Source organism: Homo sapiens, chromosome 12 (assembly GCF_000001405.40).
Source record: "Homo sapiens chromosome 12, GRCh38.p14 Primary Assembly".
In the NCBI taxonomy this organism is placed as follows: Eukaryota; Metazoa; Chordata; class Mammalia; order Primates; family Hominidae; genus Homo; species Homo sapiens.
Genome location: NC_000012.12, coordinates 44,903,778 through 44,930,080, shown reverse-complemented (window position 1 = coordinate 44,930,080; position 26,303 = coordinate 44,903,778). Strand labels below are relative to the sequence as shown.

Genomic DNA, 26,303 nt, shown 5'->3' with positions numbered 1-26,303 from the left:
TGAATAGCACATTTGTAAGGAGTGAATTAGTTAGTGTGCTAATTAGAAAACTCTTGCAAGAGAAGACAGGTTGTAGTTCATTTTTATCTATTTCTCTCAATTTTGATCTTATAGTGGTGAGTGGGTGGAAAAGCCATGATTAAGTTTAAAAGCTCTGAATGTACATTAGCAGATATGTTTGTTCTTTTAGTTGGTGCTTTAAGTAGTTTAGCCATGTATACACTTATTTCCATTACTACTAATTATGTTTTTGAAAGCCTACTATGTGTCAAGCACATCATGCCTTTATTTAATTCATACAATAGTTGTATGGAACAGGTAGCATTATTCTGCGTTCACAGATGAGGATACTGATGCTTAGAGAAATTTAATAATTCATGAGGGGTCAGACAGCTGGTGAGTGGGGCTTGGGATCTAAAGGCAAGTTCTTATGACTCCAGAGCCTGCACTTTAAACCACTAACGTGCATTGTATTTGCAACTGCCATGTCAGGTAGCTTTTAGTGAAGTCTGCCAATTTTAGTATGAAATATTCTGTTTGTAATGTGTAAGGAGTAGGTCAGGCTTTCTAATTGTGCTGTTTATGTAAGGCACAATAAGGACTTTTGCAAAGGGGACTTGTCAAGTTATCATGATACTGGCTGCAAGCCAGAGGTTTCCTTAGCAAAGTGCTAAGACAAGGGCTACTGGGGTAAAAGGGAAGCTCTTATTTCCTCCTCTTTACCCCCTAAATTGCCCACATCTCACTTTTTCAATGTATAAAGTACAAGCCCACCTAGGTTCTACTGGGTGAACTCTGCGTAAATTTTAAAAATACTTAAAACCCACCAAATTTATTACCTCTCAACAGACTTAGTCAAAAGATGCAATGTTTCTATTCCAAAATGCTGTGATCTTCTTAAAAGAAAAGAATGAGTTTAAAAAATACTTGATGAGCTAAAATTGCTGCTGAAGTGCTTTTTGTGTCATTTATTAGGGAAGATTTCCCACATATTCTGTTGCTAAGCCCCTAAAAGTTATTAAAGGAAGCACACTTGTGAATATCTTCAAAAAGTGGGCAGGTGGTCATCCCAAGGAGATGAGTTTGGGTAAAGTGAAGTCTTCATAGAAAAATCAAATTCTTAAGGCTTATTGCAATCCTAAATTAACCTAAACTCTAAGTTTTCTTTGATTGACTGAATGATGCCAGAAAGATCAACTGGGCTGTACATAGAATTGCACAAAGCACAATTAGACAGGCAAAGTAGGGCAACACACATCTAATGGCAGAAGGTTTCGTGATTCAAATCGATTGACTGAATGATTCTTTCCTTCAGTCTGTCATTTAACCATCTGTCCAGTTGCCATTTAACAGTTACTTAGTAGCATATTTAATTCAGTATTTATTGATCCCTCTGTTACAGGCACTGTGTGAGGTACTGCAAGCCTTAACTGACACACAAAATTAAATAATCAATTCAATGCGTTTGCCTCAGCGTGTATGTCTTTTACGGTCCTGATGATTAAATCGTTTTAGACTGAAGTCCTTGCGTTTTATTGTCAGCCTGTTTGAGCAAGTGATAATCTGTCAATCAATAGAGTCAATGGAACTTAAATTATTTGGGTGACAGTATTGATCAAAGTGTTTGGTGTTTAAAGGTCTTGGTGTGGGTTTTCTACATAGTTATTCACATAGATAGTAAGCAAACTGTTAAGTCACATCCACGCAGTGTTCTAATAGGAGTGGCAATAGTAGTAATCATAGTAATCATTCTCAAATTTATAATAGTAAGGCTAACTTCATTGGTGAGAACCAAACTTCTTTTTTTTTTTTTTGAGACGGAGTCTCCTTCTGTCGCCCAGGCTGGAGTGCAGTGGCGTGATCTTGGCTCACTGCAAGCTTTGCCTCCCGGGTTCACTTCATTCTCCTGCTTCAGCCTCCCAGGTAGCTGGGACTACAGGTGCCCACCACCATGCCTGGCTAATTTTTTGTATTTTTCAGTAGAGACGGGGTTTCACCGTGTTAGCCAGGTCTCTTGACCTCTTGACCTCTTGATCTCTTGACCTCATGATCTGCCCACCTCAGCCTCCCAAAGTGCTGGGATTACAGGCGTGAGCTACCACGCCTGGCTGAGAACCAAACTTCTTATGTTAGTGCTTTAAATATTCCATTCAGGATCTGACTGGGCAACATCTTTCCTAGAAACAACAATAAAAACCTTGCATTATCTTGGGCAAGTCACTATTATCTCTGTCCCTTAGTTTCCTCCCCTGGTAAGGCAAAGAAGCTGCTATAGATGATTTCTAAGCTCAAGATCAACACTAAAGTTTTATAATTTTAGGTTTTGGATTTCCTCCTGATCTTAAGTATTTGAAGAATTCTATTTAAAAATGTTATTCTTAGGTAATGCTTAGCAAATAGACAATAAATATAGTGAATAAAAGGCAAATAAAGCATTTGACCAATGTCAACTTCATGTAATGCTTATTAATTGAGCATCAACTATGTGTTGGGCATTGATGTATGTGCCTCGTGACTCAGCAGTAAATTCGATTAAGGTGTTTTCCTTCATGTATTTTACAATTTAGTGGGAAAAGTTGACAAACAAACTTGAAAAGAAGCAGTAATTACAGATAGTTACAAATGCCCTGCAGGCTAATTGGAGAGACCTGAGGTGGTGTGTCTAGATAGGATGGTCAAGGAAGGCCACTCTGCTGTGTGAAAATCAAGGATAAGAATATTCTAGGCATTGGGAAAAGCTAAAGCAAAGCTGTTGCGGTTGGAAGTTGCTTTGTAATTTTCTTTCTTTTTCTTGTTTTCATGTTTGAACTAGTTTATTTCAAAGGAATAAGACTTTCAAATAAAAGTAAGCATATTAAGCGCATAAGATAATATTTTTAGTGAAATTCAAATCATTTTTTACAATAAACAGACAATATTTTCTAATTATGTTAATTTACTCAATCTCCTCATTTTTCTATTTTATGTTTGTAATTTACCTATTAACTCTCTAGCACATATATGCATTTTATGTTTTCTTTGTTAATAGTGGTGCACAATTGAAAAGTTTAGTTGCGATTGAGTTAAAGAAAATTGGTTTCATGGAATACCTTTCTGCAACATTTGAATACACATAAAAATCCCTATCAAAAACTAAGATATAAAACTGTGTACCTCTATTTTTAATCTAAAGTCATTTTATACACTGGAAAGTAAGTACAAGTGCAATATTTACTGTAAAATACGCACTAACCACTTTGTTGATATAAAATTTAATGAGTTCATAATTATGCAAACATTTGTCATTGGGAGTGAAGGACATATAGATTCTATCTGTATTATTTCTTATAACTACTTATGTAGTTTTCAAGAGACACAGAGGCAGATAGGAGCGGGAAAGTGGTCTATGATGTGGCTGGAGTTGGTCAGTGTTGAGAGGGTGTCATTGTGTCTTCTAGGACTTAGGGAGTTTGGATTTTACTCAATTTGCAATGAGAGTATGAGAAAGTCTTAAATATATTTCCGATCCTCCTGCTATATAAATGTATAACCAGAGATTCTGGATGTTGAGGTACACTTAACTAAGATATTCCCTTCCCTCCCTGTGTCCATAGTGACATTTTATCAGTTTGTCTTTGAAACTTATTTCTAAAATTACTTTGTTAAAGCAGGAAGGCCTTTTCCTTGCTTACTAATTGAAGATTGGAGTATTTCCAGAGGTAACTTTGAGAAACAAGAAGCAAATATGGTAAACTCCAAAAGGAGATGAAAAATATGTTTGTAATCTATTTTTAGAAATTTTAGTATTTATAAATCCTTTTATTCCGTGAGATTTCTACAACAGTGGGAGTCAAATCCCTATTTTGTGATAAGGAGTTACAGACTTGGGATTTGCCCTTAATATACTTGATATTGTGAATTAAGGATGAATAAAGATGAACTTATCAGAGAAATAAAGATTTTACTTTACCATGGGGTAAAGGAATATTCTAAATATTACTAAATATCTTCATATGGAGACAGAGAGAAGGAAAGGTCTGAACTGAAGTGCACTGATAACCTTTTACAAGAGCTTTACTATATTATGGGATGTCAAGAGCCTTTGAAAGATAATTGGAAAGTTGATTCATGTTTAATAAAGGGAAGCTTATTTATGGGGGGTAAAAGTTGTGTATAATGATAGACAATTTTCCCTCCAAAATATGAGAAGCTAAATTATTACTTATAAATAGTAGCATGCTGGTTTGAGCTAAAGAAAAGTAAAATTAAATTATGTACTTTGCCATATTAGTGTGTGTTTTAAGGGAGTCATGTAATGCACTTGAACTTGTGTCTTCACCTGTGAAAATAAAATGGAACCAAATGACTTCTGAAAAGCCTTATAGTGCCAAAGTGTGTATAATTCTATGTGATCAACACTGATAAGTTAATTCTGTAAATAGGCGAATATAGGAGAGAAAATCATAAGGAGAATACAGGAGAGAAAGTGTTAATGTTATGACCAATTGTTGAGTCAGGAATGTTGGAAGGGAACAGGATAAGTATATGTTATAATAAGATGTAAGACTCTTCAAAGATCGGTTGGTTAAAATAAGTTTTTGTTTTGTAAATAGTAAGGAGACATCTGAAAATTTGCAATCCGAAAAGAGTTATAGGCAAGTTGCAAGTTGTAACTCTTTTACCCATCCCTTATTACCTACTTAATTATCTGCATTAAGTAGAAATTGGATTTCATAAATATTCTCTAGTATTGGCCATTTCAAAAAACACCTTCTGGAAATAAAACTGTGTATGAGTTATTGCGTTCTGCACGTGTTTTCACACTCGTATGACCTGAGGGTAGTTCTGTGAATTGGTCATCTTATTAAGTCATTGCTGTTTCTTGCCTCTCTTCTAGAAGATAGGCAAGGACAGATAGAACCTACATGTCCTTTCACTCCCAATGACAATGTTTGCATAGTTATGGACTCATTAAATTTTACATCAACAAAATGCTTAGTGCATTTTTTACAGTAAATATTGTGCTTATACTTACTTTCCAGGGTATAAAATCACTTTAGATTGAAAATAAAGGTACATAGTTTTATATCTTAGCTTTTGATAGGGATTTTTATATGTATTCAAATATTGCAGGAAGGTATCCCATGAAACCAATTTTCTTGAGGCCTTTGTTCTCAATAATACAAAGTCCTATCAGAAAATGAGAGGGTAGTTTAAACTTCAGAAAGAAATGAGAGTTCAGGCCGGGCAAGGTGGCTCATGTCTGTAATCCTAGCACTTTGGGAGCCCGAGGTGGGTGGATCATTTGAGGTCAGGAGTTCAATAGCAGCCTGGCCGACATGGTAAAACTCCATCTCTACTAAAAATACAAAAATTAGCTGGGTGGTAGTGGCATGCGCCTGTAATCCAGGCTACTTGGGAGGCTGGGGCAGGAGAATCGCTTGAGCGGTGGGGGCAGAGGTTGCAGTGAGCCGAGATCACGCCCCTCACTGCACTCCAGTCTGGGTGGCAGAGTGAGACCATGTCTAAAAAAAAAAAAAAAAAAAAAAGAGTTCAATCTGGTGATTTTTTTTCTTGGATTTGTGTGTAGATATTTGTACAGGAAGCTTGAATGTTGGAAGACAAGTTGATTTCCTGTATGGGTAATATTTATCTAAAACTTACATGAAATTGACAAATGTGAAGAATAAATGCCAAGTGATTTAATTGCTACAAGTTTACCATTTTTTATATATATCTAAAGGAATAAATTTTATAATCCACAGTAAGTGGAATTCGGGATCTCAAAATTAAACATAAAACTCAGAAGATTTGGTATTTTTCAGTATGTGTTTAATTTTAAAAAGAAAACAGGTCATGCAGAGGTTAAGGTTAGAAAATTTATTTAAAAAAAAACCACAACTCTAGATGCAAAGAAATTAAGGCTATATCCAAGTACTTTGCTTTCTCAAGACATAGTCCAAGACCTTTTTCTCTTCTCCCTGAGTGCTTTCATCAATGCCCAAGGCTTCAGTTACCATCTCTAGGTATATGATTCCTAACATCCATGTCTCTGCTCCAGGCATCTCTGCCAAGATCCAGACTCATCTGTGACCCTGACTACTCAACATCAGCATGTGGATGTCTCATTGGAACCTAAACTCAACATGGTCAAAACTAAATTCTTTTACCCATCCCCTACTACCTCATTCTCTTCTAATTGTTTATTTAAAAAAAAAAAAGATCACCCAGCAGCATGAGCCAGAAGACTTGTCCCTATCCTTCACTCTTCCACATCTAATCCATCACCATTACAATCTTCTGGACATTTTTTGAACCACTCGCACAACCTTTGAATCTGTCCATTTTGTCATAGCTCGTTCCCTTGTCTGAGCTACCCTCATCTCTTATCCAGGCTACTAGAATATCCCTTAGCTCATCTCTCCATGTCTATTCTTGCCTTCTTCCAATTCACAGCCAAGAGCTATAGAGAAATTTTTACAAGGCAAATATGATCATTCACTCTCCTTCGGAAAATTCGGTGAAGGTTTCCCATTGTCTACCAAGATAAAGTAAAAAATGTTTAACCTTGCCTCAATTCCTGTATGATCTGGCCCCTACCTGCTTCACCAGACTTACTTTGATGTACCCTCTCCTTTACTCTTTGGACCCTAGTCAACTTGACCTATGGATTTCTTAAATGTGCCTTTCTTTCCTGCCAATGGTCTTTATAGTGTTATTTTCTTTGCTTACAACATTCTTCCCTGTCTAGTCTTCAAATTAACCCTTATTAGTCCCTAGTAAGCAGTTAACTCCTATTTATTACTTCGCCCAAACATCATTTCCCATTTTCACCTTTTAGAAAAGCTCACATCTGTTTAATAAATGCTCTCTTGTCACCCTGCACCTTTTTTTCATTCATTCATCCAGCAGTTGTTGGGTATCTATAGTGCCATGTACTCTTCTAAAAGCTAGAAATGGAATGAGGGGAGACTGACAACAATTATAGGACAAAACAAGATAATTTCAAATAGTGATGAAGATTATAAAGAAAATAAAACCAATTACTGTGCTAGAGAATGACTTGAGAGAGGTACTTGGGTTATTATGTTTGCAACTGCAATTAAATGAATGATAGTACATTTTGCTTGTTGAATGTGTGTCTTCTCTGTAAAAACATGAACTTCCAAGAACTGGTACTTTGTTACACTTACTCACACCATATCCCAGCAGCACTAGGTATAATGCCCAGGACATAGCAGACTCAATAAGTATTGCCAAATGAATGAATTGGCCTACTGTATTACCTCCCTAGAGCTGCCGTAACAAAGTATATCAAATCAGGTAGCTTAAAACAACAGAAATTTATTGTCACAGTTCTGGAGACTTGAAGTCTCAGATCAAGGTATCTGCAGGGCTATTCTCCCTCTGAGGTCTCTGGGGGAAGAATTCTTTCTTTCTTCTAGCTTTTGGTATTTGCTGGCAATCATTGGCATTCCTTGGCTGATAGCTGCATCACTCCACTCTCTGCCTCTATCGCTGCATGGCCTTTTTTCCTGTGTGTCTAATCTGGTCTATTTCTGTGTTGAATATTCCTCTTATAAGGATACCAGTCATTTGATCAGGAGCCACACTAGTCCAGCATGATTCATCTTAACTTAATTACATCTGCAAAGACCCTATTTCCAAATAAGGTTACATTCACAGGGATGAGGTGGGGGGTGCAGGTGGTTAGTATTTCAACATATCATATTAGGGGACACAACTAAAAATTCAACCAACTGTCCCTATTTCTCTCAGAAAAAGGAAATCTAAGAAGTTAATATTAAAATTCATATATTGTAGTATTTAAAAAGGCTTATTTCTAAGTAAGTTTTATATAATGTACAAACATTTGACTTTGTGTCAAATTACCATTTTACTTTGTGTAAGTACGATAAATTGTTTTGATTTGTTTTAGACTATTTGGTTGAATCCTAACTACACCAATATCAATGCCATCCTAAAAAACCAAGACTATGATCTGACCAAATTAAACTCATGTTCTCTATTCCCTTAGCAGAAGAGAACTAATTTCTTCATGTATTAAAAATAAATGAATATGGAAGCATACTCATGATACTCGCATCTTAAAAATCCACCCCGACATTTTTGCAAAGACTGTGTGTGGGACGTTGACATATTTTTGTTATACAATGACAGTTTTAGTGCAAGTTGTTCCCATTGTGACCAGGGAGGAAGAGCAAATAAAAGGGAAAGAATAAGTTCCAGTACAAACCACATGTGAACTGAAGCTGTCAGGTTCCACAAAGGCAGAAGTACTCTCTGAAAAGGTAGAGAAGTCCTTTTGTGTATGATAGGTGGGGTGGAGGGTGGGAGGGTCACTAATATTGTCTGCTGTATGCTATCTTAGGAAAGTCATTTTTTCCTATCAAACACCACCTTGTGTCTTTTGAACTCCATTAGCACTTTTTTTGTTTTTAGTTTTCTCAAATGACCCTTACGTAATACTTATTGCTTGTACTGTTCTAAGTGCTTTACATGTATTAATTCAATTAATCATCATAACAATTCATTTCCATTGTGCAGCTGAGGGTCAAGGTACACAGAGGTTACATTACATGTGAGCTGGAGCCACAATTCAAGCCTGCCTGTCTAACTTTGGGGCCCACTCTCTGACCCATCTTGCTATACCGCCTACGTAGTTACTGAATTTTGAACTTGTTATAGACCTCTGCCAGACTGTAAGCGTCTGAGAGCCTGGCCACTGTGTCTTTCTTACATTTGTATTTTCTGTAAAGCCTAGCTTAGTATTTTGTGCACAATAGGTACTCAGTAAATGCTTGCAAATGAATTGAAATTAGACCACGATTTGCACAAGTCTATCTAGTGTTTAGGTCTCTGACTTCCATGTCATGGTTTCAATGAGAAGACGTTCATTTGAAAAAAATAGAATCCCAAATAGATATAAATAATCTAGGGAAGCAGACAAATGTCAGTTTGGGTGCTTCCAGCCTCTCTCATGGGTGCTCTTTTCCTTTCTTCCCTCCTCAGCCCCCTACCAGCTAACTATAAAAGTGTGTACGTAGATTAGGATCTCAAATGATTTCACTGAGAGTAGCTTAAAGTGTTACTCTCTTAAGAACATTTGTGTTTTCACAGAAATTAATTTCTAATAATTTCAGCCATCAGTCAATAAATGAGGGAGGTATTCATTTGAGCAACAGACAGACTCCAGAGTTGTGGAAATTACACCCATTTTTATGTAAAGTATTTCATTTTATGGATTTGTTGGTAACATTTGCACTGGTTTGTACTCTCTCTCTTGCTGTGTAAATATAAGACTAATTAAAAGCAAATAAAAACTTTAATCTTCAATTTAAAATCTGGCAGTACTGAAATATTGTAGACATGTTGGTATTCATTTGCTTGTAGGAAATTCTGCCACTAAGAATTTAAATTTAATTTGCCTTTTTATTATGTGATATGTGCATCACAAGCCTGTGGGCAGTAGATGAGCTTTAATAAAGCTAAAAATAAATAAAATGGGAATGTTAATAAACCTTGTAGCTCATTAAACATTTGGATTCACTGAGTATATATCTATTAATTTTAGATGAGACTACATTAGGAAACCTTTGTTACATGAAGGTTGTAATTAAGTGAATAATATATTCAAATTCAATACAAAACATCTTCTTCCACATCTTTTTAGTGACAATTCTTTAGTAAAAAATTTCAAGGAACTGAAAGGCTTAAAAAGTAATGATTAAATATGCAAATATAACAATTTATAGTTCTTTCTAAAGAATTAAAATTTGAAAGATATGTCCAAATGGATTCTCTTCTTATATCTCATTATCTTCTTTATCTACTTTAGCATTTGTGATTTCATTATTTTATTAAGAAAGTGCTCTCATTTCTTGACCCCGTTTATTCTTCTACTTTATTTCTATATTTCAAAATTCTCCCTATTTTCTGTTTTCTCATTCTATTAACATACATTACATAACTTCCAAATTATTCTTTTTTTCTCTGTGACTATTCCTCTTTCCTTTGAAAAGCTCTCCAGTTTCTAACCTTAAAATTCGTGCTTAAAGACTTTATTTCCAGAATCATTTTTGTGTGTGTGCTACCATCAGTTATCCATGAAAATCAACTTCGGCTTATGAATGCATGGCTATGCAAAAAGTGAACACTCATTTTCTATCTTTTTTGCATGTTTTCCTTTGGAATTTAGGTTTATTTTTAATATTAAATGCATGTATTAGCTTGCTAGGGCAGCCATGGCAAAGCAGCACAAACTGAATGCCTTAAACAACAGAAATGCATTGTCTCACAGCTCTGGGGGCTGGAAGTCTGAGATTAAGGTGCTGGCAGAATTGGTTCCTTCCAAGGGCTGTGGGAGAGAATCGATTCCATGCCTCTTTCCTAGCTTCCAGTGTTTTGTTGGCAATCTTTGGCATTCCTTGTCTTGTAGACCCGTCACTCTGATTACTACCTTCACGTTCACACAGCATTCTCTCTGTGCTCATATCTCTGTCTCTGTCTAAATTTCCCCTTTTTATAAGGACACTGTCACATTGGATTAGGGCTCACCCTGATGACCACATCCTAACTTGAGCGTCTGCAGAAACCTTATTTCCAGGGTTACGGTCACAGGTACTGGGGGTTAGGACTTTAACATCTTTTAGGGGAACACAGTGCAACCCACAATAATAACACAGTTACATTCAACATACGGTTATTGGGTATTTATGTAGGTTTGCATTATATTAATATTATTTTATATTAATATTAATAATTTATCATTTTTACTACATGCTGAGCACCATTTATCTTCATTGTACCACTGCATTTCCACAACATTCTTAAGAGACAGGCACTATTATTTTTTCCTCTCTTTGCTGGAAAAACTGAGGTTTAGGGAGTTTTAAAAATTGTTACAGATAGGCAGTTGTATCATTTAGGATGTTTGTGGCTACAAGTAGCTGGATACCCAAAAAGGGCTTAGACAAAGTATTTATTTTCTCACGTTCGAAGAAATCTGGCAGTAGGATGGTTGAAGGTCAGGTTAAGTCATTGCTTGAGCAGTGTCATCAAGAACTTGAGCTCTTTTATGTTTTCATTCTGTCATTCTTAGCATGTTAATTGTGTTTGTCAGGTACTTTCAGGGTCATGTGATCATATCCTCAATAAGAGGGGAAAACTACCTATGCAGTGTTAGCCTCTACATTGGGAATCAGGGACTACCTATAGAGGGGAGAGGGAAGCAATGGCTGACTATTAGGTACTGTCTATCAAATAAGGACTGCCATTAATCTCCTCTGCATGACACCTTACAAAGGACATTAATAGAAAGGCTCGTTTCAGAAATTAAAGATAGATAATGCATGTGATCTGACATAAAACCATCAGTGAGCAAGGGTGGAAGAATGAGTCTTCATGATGTGTTTGGGTATGAATTACTTAGAAATACTTTTAAATACTTGCCTGTGCGAATATGGAAAGAGGAAAATTAAGGTTCTTAGGTTTTTCTGATTGGCAGGAGATTCTACACACACACACACACACACACACACACACACACACACACACACACACATACATGCATGCATGAACATATAAATATGCCAAGTTAGCATAAGGCTAGTGGGGTCAAGTGAGTAATACAAACTATAATAGATTAAGATAAATGACAATAGTCTATGTTTTGTGAAACTCTTCAAAATATATTTTGCAAGCTTTGGAGTTAACACGAGCTTCAGGTTGAATGGGTTGCATTCCAGATGGTTAAAGAGAGGATCATTAGCAAAACAATTTGATAACAAGGGAGTCTTTTTTTCTTTTCCCTAAATGTGAGATTAACACCATATAGGATCTGTACTTTAGGGTAAAAAACAAAGTCAAATTTAATGTAAATATCATTTCCACCACTACCACCACCCCAGATTTAATATCCACTGATGCTTTCTACCTGGATACATTTTAGCTGTGATGTTTGCGTCTGCTTTTGCAAGCCACATGTTAAAGAAAATTTAGGTCAAGTGGAGGTGTTTTAGGTAGTGACCAGGAAAATGAACATTATTTTCAAGAGGAAAGGACTCAAAATATTCAAACTAAAATGGTTGGTGCTTAACAGTATTAGTTTTTTACTGCTGTAAACCAAATTACCAGTTGATGGCACAATCCATTTCTTTGAAGCTATATGGCGGAGAGCCCTGACTTTTTGAAGCCGTTGTCTGGAGGCTGCCCTCAGGTCCTAGAGGCCACTTGCAGTGCTTAGAGGCCATTTAGTTACTTGCCACATGAGCTTCTGTAACATGACCCCTTACTTCTCTAGCCCACAGGACAGTCTCTCTTGATTAGAGTCTCTGACTTCAGGGAGTGCCTAGTCACTCTTTTAAGGGCCCACCCAGGACAAGCTTCCTTATGATTAACTTGAAATCAACTGATTTGGGACCTTAATTACCTCTGCAAAATCCTTTAATCTTTGCCATATTCTATCGATTAGAAGCAAGTCACAGGCCTCACATACGTTCAATGGGAGGGGATTATACAGGGTATGAACACCAAGGGGTGGGAATCATGGGCCCACCCTAGGGTCTGCTCACCACATATACCTAGAGAAGGCTCAGGAAGACATGATAGCACTGTGCTGGCCATGTGCAATATATTAACTCCTTCAACTCTCCATTAGTTACTATTATCCTCTTCTTACATATATGGAAACTAAGACTTAGGACAGTTGGACAGCTGGGCTGAGGCCAGTCACTTAGGAAGTGGTTGGGCTGGGTTTCTCTGAATTCAAATGCTGTGCTCTTTCTACGTCATAATGTTGTTTTATTCTACTGTATAATCATCAAGAGGTCAAAGTGAGACTCATGGATGGAAATTTTAGGGAGAAAGACCTTTTGACATTTTCTTGCAGTAAATCTACCTTGGTATGGACTGAAGTTTGTTGGGTGCAAGGTTCTTCAATCCTGGCTGCACATTAGAATCACTTGGGGAGTTTTAAAAGCACATTCTCAGGGATGCTCCAATCAGATTAACAAAACGAGAGTCTCTGTGGGATAGGGCCAGTTGCTTTGCTGTTTTCAGGTTTTCTTATTAATAGATGTCCTGGCCAAAATGTTTAATTTGAGTAGAATAAAAATTGAATAAATAACAGGTTGAAAGGATATTTGAAGGTGAAATGGACCATTTTGTAGGAGGCAGTGTTCTCTTATCAATCAACATGCTTTTGTAAAAATAATCTAGCTGCTTGTCAGGAACATTATAGAAGGACTTTGAGAATGAATTATTAGACTAGAGGACCTTTAGAGTTTTCTGACCTTGTGAGTCTATGATTCTATGGTACTGGTGTTCAAAAAGTGTTCAATATGACTTATAATGGTTTGCCTTGAAGGGGCTCAAATTTGTCATTTTCTTGACTTACATACTCTGTAAAAATCTCTTCCAGGAAAATTGTTGTTGTGGTGGGGAAGGTGAGATTTGTGGTTAATAATGATGGATGCAATGAGGAGTGCAAGGAAGGTGTGATGGAGTAAAGATGGCTCTAGAGATTTTATTAGAAAGGAAACTTAAAAAAATCACAGTGGTGCCCTATTTAATATTAATTTCCACCATATTTCTGGAATTCTCTTGCTTCCTTATTGTCACCCCAGTTATAATGATTTCCATTTTAAAAATGTGGGTCTGGTGTGATGGTTGATTAATACCATTTTTTTTAGCTTAGATTCTGAATCCATTTCATTTACCTGATTTTCTATTTCACTTCCTCTTCAGATTGTTTTTATATTTTCAACTTTCTTGCCTTTAAACTATTTTCTTTGCCTCATTTGACTTCAGTTATCTCTTTCCTTTTAAATTATTTCTCAGCTTCTTCATGTTCATAACTTTAAATCTGCAGTTATTTGCAGCTTTCATGTGGCTAACATTGGCCTGTTGGTTGCCTATTATCTGCTGTGTCAGCATCCTTTAATACATGTTACTTGTTAAATTATGTAGGCTTTTTGATACTTTAACTTTGATTTAAACATCCTTGAAATATATAATGCAGATTTTAGAAATTTAGATATAGCAGGTGATGAAATACTATTTTCAAAAGTGGTGGCTGTGAATATGCATTAAAGGTATTTGAAAAGCTTTTAGACTACTCTGAACCTAGGCATCTTTCAGCCCAACTGTGTTTTCATCATGTTGAAACAAATTGCAGGGACTGATGAGTGATGTCATTTAAGAAGTACAGTGGGTCGACAACTTCATTCATACAATTAACACAAATTACTGAGCAATAGTGGTGGTTATTTTACAATATTTTCCCCATTTTTTTTTGCATCTCTTCCTACAAAATGCAGATGGCAGTCTTTGAGGGCACTGTTCTGCATTCTAATGGCTGATTGTCAGTAAAGTGTTGCCGGACCTTGGGCTCTTCATTTATTTTTTTGAATAAGCTTCAAAATAAGTTTCAAATTATTGGGAAGAGAATTTTAATCTCCATTTACTTCCAAGTATATTACTTTCAATTCCCACATGTCTTGCCAGTCACCAGCACAATTAAATGGTCACAGAAGATGAAGACTCGAGAGGGGAATTCTTTAGAAACAATATATTGCATGCATCTCAGTTCCTTATTTGTGTTTCATGGTTGTCTAAGATCTGATGGTAAACAGAAGGATGAAAAGGCATACAATTTGCTTCATTTACTGAGAAGAGAAGATAACCTTGAACATGAAATAAAGCAAAATTCAATTAGAAAGCAATGAAAAATTACTGATTCAGTGTTTTGCAATTAGTTGCATATTGTATATCTTTTAAATAGCCTTCAGTTTTGTAAATTTTGCTAATTTGAAATTTACAAAAAGTACATTATTTTTATCACTATGTGTTTCCAGCAAAGTGCATTCTTTTTGTCTTTATGCTTTTCCAACGAATATTTTAAAAATGAGTTCTCTTAAAAGTTTCTTTTTGGCCAGGCGCGGTGGCTCACGCCAGTAATCCCAGCACTTTGGGAGGCCGAGGTGGGCGGATCACGAGGTCAGGAGATTGAGACAATCCTGGCTAACACGGTGAAACCCTGTTTCTACTAAAAAAATACAAAAAATTAGCCGGGCGTGGTGGCGAGTGCCTGTAGTCCCAGCTACTCAGGAGGCTGAGGCAGGAGAATGGCGTGAACCCAGGAGACCGAGCTTACAGTGAGCCGAGATCACGCCACTGCACTCCAGCCTGGGCGACAGATGGAGACTCTGTCTCAAAAAAAAAAAAAATTTCTTTTTTACTGAATCCAGCCTCTTTAATTTTAATGCCATTTTTACTGATGACTAATACAATTATATCTCTAGCCGAGACCTTTCTCTACACTCCAGGAGTATATATCCAATAGCTTTCCCAACACCTCCACTTTTATTTAACATCCACTAAATATTTACCGAGCAGCTACTCTGTGTTAAGCACTCTTCTAGGTTGTGGGAATATATCAGAGAATAAAACAGAGAAAAATCTTGTGCTCATGAATTTTCATTCTATTGAAGAGACACAATGAGATAAATATGAAACATGGGATGTTAGATGGTTTTAATTGCTATGTAGAAAAAAATCTGGAAGAGGCACTAGAAAATGTGAGTGGGGTGGTTTGCAATTTTAAAAGAGGTAGTCAAGGAAAACCTTATGATAAGGTGACATTTGGGCAAAGTACAAAGAAGGTAAGGGAGTGAGCTAAGAGGACACCTGCAGGAAGAGCATTCCAGGCAGAAAGAACAGCAACTGTAAAGGTCTGGCTGCTTGTTTTAGAAATATTGACAGTAAGGATACGGGGGAGACTGAAATGGAACAAGGGAAGGAGAGCGATATCAGAGGGGTAAGGTGGACAAGATCATGGATGGCTTGGCAAGGACTTCAGCTTTTACTTCAAGTGAGATGGAAAACCACTGAGGGTTTTAGGCAGAGGAGTGACACAACCTGATTTATGTTTTAAAAGGATCACTTCTTTGGATGCTATTTTGAGGATAGACTGAAGGGAATGATGATAGCAGGGAGACCAGTTAGGATGATGACTTAGACCATGGCAGTTGTGGGTGGAGATGGTAACTGCCAGATTCTGTCTATATATTGAGAAGTAGCAGGCAGGATGTACTGAGCAATTGGATGTGGGATGTGAGAGAAATGACTCCAAGGTTTTTGGCCTGAGCAATCAGAAGGATCCATCTAACATTTACTGAAATAAGGAAGATGCTTTATTCAATCTAAAAGTGAAAAAAGAACCTTTTAGACATTATTATTATAAAATGTCTATAAGAAGACTTCTCATTTTAATCCTCAAAATGTGAGTTCTTTCTTATCATTTTAATTTTAAGGTAACTCTGAACACCATTTTAAAAATTCTTTAAGGAGGGTATAGTGACCTGAATTTTCAAACAGCTGTGGTTTTGATGTGAATCATATTGTTTTTCTTTAAAATATATTAACGTTTACGAATTTTATAGTATGTTAAGAGTTTGGGAATTTCTTTGCTAAATTCACAACTATTCAAACTTGAAACATAATGCTGAATCCTACCTTGACCTCCCAATTATCTCTGGCAACTATTTTAGGACTGGGAAGGAGAAAATTCCTATATTATATTTATCTTTGTTTTTAACCCTAGTTTGAGAGCTGATTTTTTAGATAACTTTTTTCTTAATAAAGAACTTAGATATGCCATCATGGAAAATCTGAAAACTAGGAAGAAGTATAAAGAAAAAACTAGAAATCAACTTTATTTCTGCATCCTGCTGTTACATTTTTATATCCTGACTTTTTCAATCAGCTGTATGGAGAAAATAATGAGAGCTAGGAGACTGTGGCTCACTATCTAGGGTAAAGATTGATGTTTCAATAAAGCTTCCTACTCAAGGGAAGAACCCAAATGGCCTTGTGTTATCTCATTTTCACCTATATCTAAACAGGCTACTGATTTATTACAAAAATTTCCCAGAGTAAGTGTGCAATAAACTAGTTTAAGAAAGGAAAGAAAAACACTCCCTATGACCCCAGCATATTTATTTGATTTATTTAACAGAAATACACATTATGCTTACTGTATGCCAAGCACTTTTCTAAGGACTTTATAAATATTTGCTCATTCAACTTAATCATCAGAACAACTGAGTTAGGGACTGTCACAATTCCCACTTAATAGTGGCACAGAGAGGTTAAGTAATTTGCCCAAGGTCATATAGCTAGTAAGTGGAATAGCTAGGATTTAAACCCAGGCAGGTTGGCTACCAAGTGTCCATGCCTAACCACTACTGCTGCACTGTGATGAACTTGAATCCTGTATAGTCAGAATCCAAGTTCATTTTGTTTTGGCCACATTAACTTAGTAGGAAACTACTATTATTTTTATTCACATAAACAATTCGAATTTATAAGGCTCGTGGACTTTTATGCACTATTAGGCTTAGCATGTAGAAGGTACTAAATAAAAGTTTATTAGGTGGAAGAATAAATAAATGATGTCATGTGGTGGGAAGCCAATTTAATTAAGTTGCAGTGATTTCCCCATTACTCCAGTAGCATTTTCCAGAATACATTCCCACAGAACATTAGTTCTCTGATTTTCTCCTTTAAAAAAAGATTCTATTGTGAAATTAGTTTGGAAAACTGCATATTCTATTAGCTTTTTGAGATTTTCAGTGTGTATTAGTATATTAAGAGGTGCAGAGAAGTCCTAGAGTAAATACATCCTTTAAATTTTGTTTAACTCTGTTTGATCAGAGATGCCTCCTTTTTCTTGTGATAATCTTTCAACATCCCATAGAACTAGTAGTCTGTGGAATATGCTTTGGCAAGTAACTACTTTATAGGATGAGGTCTAAAGCCTTAAAAATAAATTATTTACAAGGGTGCTTTTCCAATTTCATTTACAAATTCATCATCCATTGTCTCTCCTCATAAACTACATCTCTTTCTTCACAAGTAACTAAATGTTCCATGCATTTTCATTCTTTTAGATTCTGCTGATTTTTTTCTCTCTGTGTGGGCTTTTCCATTCTCAGTACTACCCTCCCCCAACACATAGACAGAGACCTTCAACCTGAGCTCCAACTCAATCCTCAGGGGCACTTTATTTATTTTTATTTTTATTTATTTATTTTTTTAAATTTTATTATTATTATACTTTAAGTTTTAGGGTACATGTGCACAACGTGCAGGTTTGTTACATATGTATACATGTGCCATGTTGATGTGCTGCACCCATTAACTCAGGGGGCAGTTTAAGTATCACCTGTGACTTTACTCTGACTCTCACAGAAAGATTTAGTCACCACCTCCTTTTTGGTCCCCTAGAATTTTGTAAATAAATGTATATTATAAATATATATTTTGCTTACATACATGTTTTTTCTCTTGTTTATCGGTGACTCGAAGGCAGGATTATGTCTTTTACTCATTTTTATTTCCCTAGAACTTAACATAGTAAATGTCCAGTCCTGATAAAACCTCTATCTTGAAAAGCTGCTCTAGTTTTCATTTATTTTTAGTTTTGATATATTCACCAAAACCAGATGCCCATACGAATTTTGTAGTTTTATTTTTTTGAGGAAGACAAGGATTAAACAGGCATTTACTTAATTTTTGTAGTGCTTTATCCATTTATCTTTTGAAAGATTATAATTTAAAATGTTACTTGGAATACTTACTGTTTACTACTGAACCACAGTGCCATCATATAGCCAAATGGTTTCCCCGAGAAATATATGTTATTTCTTTTTTATTGTTCTTGTTATTTTTTAATAGTCTTCTTGAAATTGAATAAGACTAATCAATGTTCAGAATGATTGGAACAATTTTCTAAAACCTGCATATTCCCCTGTTGACTTACAATAGTTAAAATACTCAGGGAAATAGTGTAATCATTTCCTTCCCTGTAATTCCTCCTGCTCCCACATTTGTAAAACAGTACTTTATTTACCTATTTATTTAATAATTTCAGTTTTTATTCTAGATTCAGGGAGTACACGTGCAGATTTGTTACATGGGTATATTGCATGATGCTGAGATATGCATGATCCTGTCACTTAGGTAGTGAGCATAGTATGCAACAATTTTTCAACCTTACCCTCCTCCCTACCTCCCCCATCTAGTCGTCTCCAGTGTCTATTATTGCCATCTTTATGTCCAAAAGTACCTAAAGTTTAGCTCCCACTTATAAGAGAGAGCATGTGGTATTTGGTTTTCTGTTCCTGCATTAATGTGATTAGGATTATGGCTAAGTCCTTGTGTTCCACTTTTTTAAAGAAAAAAGGATTATGGCCTCCAGCTGCATCCATATTGCTGCGAAGAACATGGTCTTGTTCTTTTCATGGCTGCATAGTATTCCACATATATATGTACCACATTTTCTTTATCCAATCCATCATTGATGGGCACCTAGGTTGATTCCATGTCTTCATTATTTTGAATACTGCTGAAATGAACATACATGTACATGTATCTTTTTGGTAGAATAATTTATTTTCCTTTGAGTATATATCTGGTAATGGAATTACTGGGCTGAGTGGTAGTTCTGTTTTAGATTCTTTGGGAAATCTCCAAACTGTATTCCACAGTGGTTGAACTAATTTACATTCCCACCAACAGTGCATAAGTTCTCCTTTCTCTCCACAGCCTCCTCAGTGCCTGGTGTTTTTGAGTTTTTAATAATAGCCTTTCTAGTGTGAGATGGTATCTCATTGTGGTTTTGATTTGCTTTTCTCTGATGATTAGTGATGTTAAACATTTTTCATGTTTGTTGGCCACATGTATGTCTTTTGAAAAGTGTCTCTTATGTCTTTTGCCCATTCTTTAATGGGATTATTTGTTTTTGCTTGTTGAATTAAGAACCTTATAGATTCTGGATATTAGACCTCTGCCAGATGCAAAATTTGTGAATATTTTCTCCCGTTCTATAGGTTGTTTACTCTGTTGATAGTTTCTTTTGCTGGGTAGAAGATCTTTAATTAGGTCCCACTTGTCAATTTTTGCTTTTGTTGCTATTGCTTTTGAGGACTTAGTCATAACTTCTTTCCTAAGGCCGATGTCCAGAATGGTGTTTCCTATGTTTCTTCTAGGATTCTTATAGTTTGTAATCTTTCATTTAAATCTTTAACCCATTTTGAGTTAATTTTTTTTGTATGTGGTAAAAGATAAGGGTCCAATTTCATTATTCTGCGTATAGCTGGACAGCTATTCCAGCACCATTTATTGAATAGGGATTCCTTTCCCTATTGCTTATTTTTGTTGTCTTGGTTGAGTATCAGATGGCTGTATTGTGTGTAGCTTTATCTCTGGGTTCTCCAGTCTGTTCCATTGCTGTGTGTGTGTATATATATGTGTGTGTGTGTGTGTGTGTGTGTGTCTGTGTCTGTGTGTCACCAAAACCATGCTGTTTTGAGTACTGTAGCCTTATAGTATGGTTTGAAGTTGGGTAATATAATACCTCTAACATTGTTCTTTTTTCTTAGGATTGCTTTGACTATTTGGTCTCCTTTTTGGTTCCATATGAATTTTAGAATTTTTTTCCAGTTCTGTGAAAAATAAAGTTGGTAGTTTGATATGAATAGCATTGAATCCGTAGATTGCTTTTGGTACTATGGGTATTTTAATGATTGTGGTTCTTCCAATAGTCCATGAGCATGTCATATATTTCCATTTGTTTGTGTCATCTGTGGTTTCTCTCAACATTTTTTTTTTTGTCATTCTCCTTGTAGAGATCTTTCTCCTCTTTGGGTAGATCTATTCCTAGGTATTTTCTTGTGTGTGTGTGGCTATTGTAAATGGGATTGTGTTCTTGATTTGGCTCTCAGCTTGAACATTATTGGTATATAGGAATGTTACTGATTTTTCTATGTTGATTTTATATTCTGAAACTTTACTGAAGTTATTTATCAGTTTCAGTAGCCTTTTGGTGGAGTCTTTGGAGTTTTCTAGGTATAGAATCATATCATCAGTAAAGAGACATAGTTGAATTTCTTTTTTTCCTATTTAGATGGCTTTTATTTCTTTCTCTTGCCTGATTGCTCTATCTAGGACTTCCAGTACTTTATTTTTAAAAGTAATTTGTCACTTTTTCAACTTAATAGAGCATTGTATTGATTTCTCAATTACTCTGTTCTTATGTGTTCTGTGACAGGTATTTTTTAAGGTCAAACACTTTTAAAGTAAATCTAAATAAATTATGTCAGCTAACTCTTCTTTCAGAGAAAGGATGTCAGGAAAAATTACCCACCACTCAAGAGATTCCCTTTTAATATTAATGATTGAAATAACTTTTAATTATTTATTTTTCTAGTGTGGTCATTAGCACTCTGTAAAAGGCAAAAATAAATTCTCTTTTCTTATGATGAGTGCTGTGTCTGTAACAGCACAAAGTTTCATCAACTCATTTACTTTAGACTACCTGTTGAATATAACTTCATTTATGGAGTATTTTAGCACCTGGATCACTTTAATTTCATCCAACACTACTTCTGCCATAATTCTTAAATATTTTAATGTCCATGTGGGTGATCTTGCTACTACTGTAGCCACTTGATTCCTTGACCTTCTTTCCTTTGGTGGTATTGTCTTCCATTCTTCCTCACTCATCCCTATGTTCATTCAATACCATAATATAAAAATAATTGCAACCTTGTCAAAATCTCAATTCCATGAATCCTTCTGTTATTACAAACTCTTATCTTTCCAGTTTATTCTTGAATACACTTTACTCAACAATCTTTTGACCTTTACCTACCTACTATCTGTTTTACTGCCTTTCTTACCCATCTTAAAGTTCATGATTAATCACTGTAAGAATTCCCCTGTACATACCCTCTATTCCTCAATGAAATCATAAGATTGGTTAAATACAACTCTTCTATTTCTTATCTATACCACATAGCTTCCTAGGCTTATGGGTCTCACTTCAAATTATTGATCACTAAACTCAAGTAGACTTTTAATGCTTCCTAGCCATCATATTTCTCCATGCCACACACATTTCCATACTTCTAGATGTCCATTTCATACATTTTCCTCTCTTCTGAAACCTCAAACATGTCTATCTCATCATGACTTCCAATGGATGACTTTGCTTCCTATTCCACTGAGAAAATAAAAGCAACCAGAAGACATCATTCTTAAACCTGTACTACCACATTTAATGACCTTCTGCCTTTGTGTGCCTAAACTCTGCCTTCTGCCTTGTAGGATGCCTGAAAAACTGTTCACATTTGCAATTAATGCCAACATTTTACTTGTTTACTATATCCTATTTCTTGAATGCACTCAAGAACATCATTACAATGATTTTCCCTTGTTTTTCTCCAATCACTGGTTTCCCTCTCTAATGGTTATCTCCCACCATCTTACAAACGTACTGTTGTATCTTTCATTTTAAAACAAAAAAACAAAGACAACTTCATTTGATCCTACTTTGCCTTCACTCAATCTACCATTGTACTTCTCTCCTTCCCTTTATGGCAAAATTATTCCAAGGAATTTTCCTACTTTACTGTCTCTAATTTCATTTTTCTGTTTTCATTTTATCTTCAACCATTTCAAACAGGTTTCTGCCTTTGTCATTCAACTGAAATATTTCTGGCCAAGGTAACCAATTACTCCCATATTGCTAAATCCAAAGGCCAAATATCAATCTTCATTTTACTTGGCCTATAAACAATATTTGACACTTTCATGACACCACTGTTTTTTGGTTTTGCACCTAATCTACTAGCTTATTGTTCTCAGTCCTTTGTTATGTTTTTCTCTTTCAGAGCTTTTAATGTTGGAGTGCCCAGAACTCTTATTTTTATTTTCCTGTCTATTCTCATAGTCTTTGTGATCTCAGTTAGTCTTATAGCTCGTATTAATCCATTCTCATGCTGCTATGAAGAAATACCCGAGACTGGGTAATTTATGAAGGAAAGAGGTTTAATTGACTCATAGTTCTGCAGGGCTGGGGAGGCCTTAGGAAACTTACAATCATGGCAGGAGTAGCAAACCTTCACATGGTGGCAGGAAGGAGAAGAATGAATGAAGAGGGGGAAAAGCCCCTTATAAAACCATTAGCTCTCATAAGAACTCACTCACTATCATCAGGACAGCATGGTGGTAACCACCTGCGTGATTCAATTACCTCCCACCGGGTCCCTCCCAGGACACACGGGGATTATGGAAACTACAATTCAAGATGAGATTTGGCTGGGAACACAGGCAAACTATATTATAGCTTTAAGAGACATCTACATACTTATGAGTCCCAGATACATATTTCTTATGTGTTTCTTTCCTTTAAATCTCAATCATTAAACTCCAGCTGCCAGATCAGTATTTCTATTTGGACATATTTTTAGTCATCCCAAGGTTAATATGTCCCGGACTTACCTTCTGATTACTGCTTCCTTTCTCCATCTCTTCCTCTAGTTTTTTCATCTCAGTGAATTCCAATTTTGTTCGTTAAGTTATTCAGGTAAAAAACCTTTGAGTTCTCCTTGATTCCTCTTTTTCTCTCATATCTCAATTCCAGTCTGGCAGTAAATCCTATCTACTCTGAATTCAGTGTAAGTCCAGAATCTCACCACTTCTCACCATATCTACCCACTCTTACCCTGGTTTGAGCCATCATCATTTTTTACCTGGATTATTGCAGTAACTTTCTAGCTGCTCTACCCTTTACTCCTTCAGTAATTGTTAACATATCAGCCAGAATTAAGAGTTTTAAATATGTCATATCATTTATGTGTTTAAAGTTCTTCTGTGACATTTCATTTCACTTAAAGAAAACCCTAAATTTCTTAGAGTGACTCATAAAATTCACATAATTTAACCGCATTTCCTCTTACTCTCTTCCTAACCCCAATCGTACTTACTGCTTCTCCAGGCATACTGCTTCCTTGTGTTTCTCAGGTTTGCCTGGAACATTCCCACCTCAAGACATTTGCTATTCCCTCTGCCTAGAAACCCTCTTCCCTAAGATATCGTCATAGCTCACCTCCTTGCCTCCTTCAGGTCTTGATTTTAATGCCAATCTTTGTGAGACCATTACTAAACACCCTATTTTAAAAGTTAACCTCTCTATAATCTTCACAATTTTCTTTCCTATTATATTATTTCCATAGCACGTATTACTGTTTAGAATATTATGTAATTAATTAATTATAGGCAATTTAGTTTATTATTTGTTCCCTGTTTTTCCCCTAGACTCTCAGAATGTAGCAATTTTTGTCTGCTTTTTTCATTAATATATTAATAGTGTCTGTTGCATAGTAGGCCTTCATTAAACATTAATTAAATGAATATATGTATAATGGTCATTCTGAAGAAAAATATTTGTATAGGATTCAGACCAAAGGTCCCCCTATAGGCCTGTGAGAGCTAGTCAGATGGTGGATGATTTATTTCCAGGTTGTATGAACATCTGATCTTGATACGGGCCAGAGAGGATATAAAATAATTCAGTGTATCTTAAAAAATAATTTGGGAAGAGACATTAAGGATCCCTCAGTGCTTGGATAACCAGATATTAATTAAGGAATTTATATTCATCAGTTTTTATCTATTTTCCCATGCTTATGTTTTTGCTGGATCATTGTGATCTTATTGAAAACTCACTTTAAAAATCTTTACTAATGAAAGAACACATCTTACAGAAGAAATATATTTAGAAATTAGAGTCGTCTCATGTAAGATTAATAAACAGCTACAAGAACTTATGCTTGGAACAGTAAAAAACATCAAAAGGGGAAATCTATAAGCATAAACATACCACATGAAATAGAAATTATAAAATATAATTAAATAAAACATATAGATAATGAGAAAATGCCAGCTTACAATACACATACCTTAGAAGAAGAAATAAAGAAAATACAGGAAATTATAAAAATAAACTGTTATGAAAGTACAGGCTGAGATACCCAATCTGAAAATCTGAAATCTGAAATTCTCCAAAATCCAAAACTTTTTAAGCACTGACATGATGCTCAAAGAAATGTTCATTATAGTTTGGATTTTCAAATAAGATAATCCGTGTAAAAGAACATCTACATCACTAGCACTCTGATAAAGAAGTTTTTTTTATGATCTCATAAAGTTGAAGAAAATTTGGTCCAGTCATTGGTGTTCAGGTTACTTTTGTCTCTGCTTAAAACTGTTTAACTCTCACTGGACAATGCCCAGTGGGGAAATCATGATAGAATAACCAAATCCCTAATGAACCATCAGGCCACTTTTTTTTCAAAATGTAATGATTAATGACCCTATCTCATTCCCTTAAGCTATTTATCTTCAACTGTACTTTTTAGTATACTAAAAATTAATTTGATTATATTTACAGCATGAAGTTTTAATGAAATGCTTTGAGGAGGATTAGAAAATAAATTGTGTAACATTTGATTTTAAATATGCATGGAATTTTAGGAGCCCATATTAGTTAGGGTGGGCTAACTGCTATAACAAACAATCTCAAATCTCAGTAGCTCTTATTTCTAGCTCATGTCATAATTCAATGAGGGTAACTGGGAGGTAAGAGGAAGGCCTTTCTTTTTCACCGTCATTCAGGGACTCTAATCTCCTTCCATCATGTGGCTTTCATTGTGTTTTGTTTTTTGATCTTCAAGGGCTTTCTAGCATTCCACTGGATATCTTTGTATCTGTTCAGCAGGCAAGAAAAGAGAGACAGAATATGGAAGTTTTATGAGCCAGACCTGCAAGCGTTGAGTATCACTTCTACACATATTCCTTTAGCTATAAGTTAGTTGAAGGGTTTTCCCAAACAAGTGAAGTGAAAAGCATATTCTTAGAATAAAAGAAAATGGGATGTGTTGAGCATATAGCATTATATCTATTACAATGTCTGATCTAGCCTTTTCCCATTTATTTTATTTCAGTTGTTTTATACAATGAAGTAACATAAGTTTTTCTAAAATTAATTTATTATTTTAATTTGCTATCTTTATAAATTTGTGATCCAAAAGAGTCATAGACATTTAATAGATTTAAGTGTTCCTGGCCATACATATTAATTTGTCTAGATTTTAAAGATTCTAAGTTTTTTTAAAATTTAATTTAATTAATTTATTTTTATTATATTTTAAGTTTGGGATACATGTGCAGAACGTGCAGGTTTGTTACATAGGTATACATGTGCCCTGGTGGTTTGCTGCACCCATCAACCCATCATCTACATTAGGTATTTCTCCTAATGCTATCCCTCCCCTTGCCCCCACCCCCCGACAGGCCCCAGTGTGTGATATTCCCCTCCCTGTGCCCATATGTTCTCATTGTTCAAATCCCACTTATGAGTGAGAACATGCAGTGTTTGGTTATCTGTTCCTGTGTTA

General features: G+C 35.6%; 1 protein-coding gene across 2 annotated transcripts in view, besides 1 other annotated feature; it reads left to right on the top strand.

The window, feature by feature from the left end:
* Nucleotides 2,965–3,134: an enhancer, noted in NCBI's record as "experimental_28669 CRE fragment used in MPRA reporter constructs". NCBI's record gives its function as "activates a minimal promoter by MPRAs in K562 erythroleukemia cells, with activity observed for both the introgressed and non-introgressed 12:45320815 variant alleles {active_cell/tissue: K562}" and the evidence as "EXISTENCE:reporter gene assay evidence [ECO:0000049][PMID:34662402]".
* NELL2 (neural EGFL like 2) overlaps nt 8,233–26,303 on the top strand; it is a 413,574-nt gene continuing 395,503 nt past the window's right edge. Inside the window, exon 1 of one of the 2 annotated variants that reach the window (XM_011538396.2) lies at nt 8,233–8,291. Coding sequence is in view for 1 of the 2 variants with exons in the window: in NM_001145110.2 (NP_001138582.1) it covers nt 16,245–16,282 (38 nt within the window). In the remaining variant the exon portion in view is untranslated. Of the gene's footprint in view, nt 8,292–16,091; nt 16,283–26,303 lie in introns of those variants that run through there. The other variant, NM_001145110.2, reaches the window with a different exon arrangement.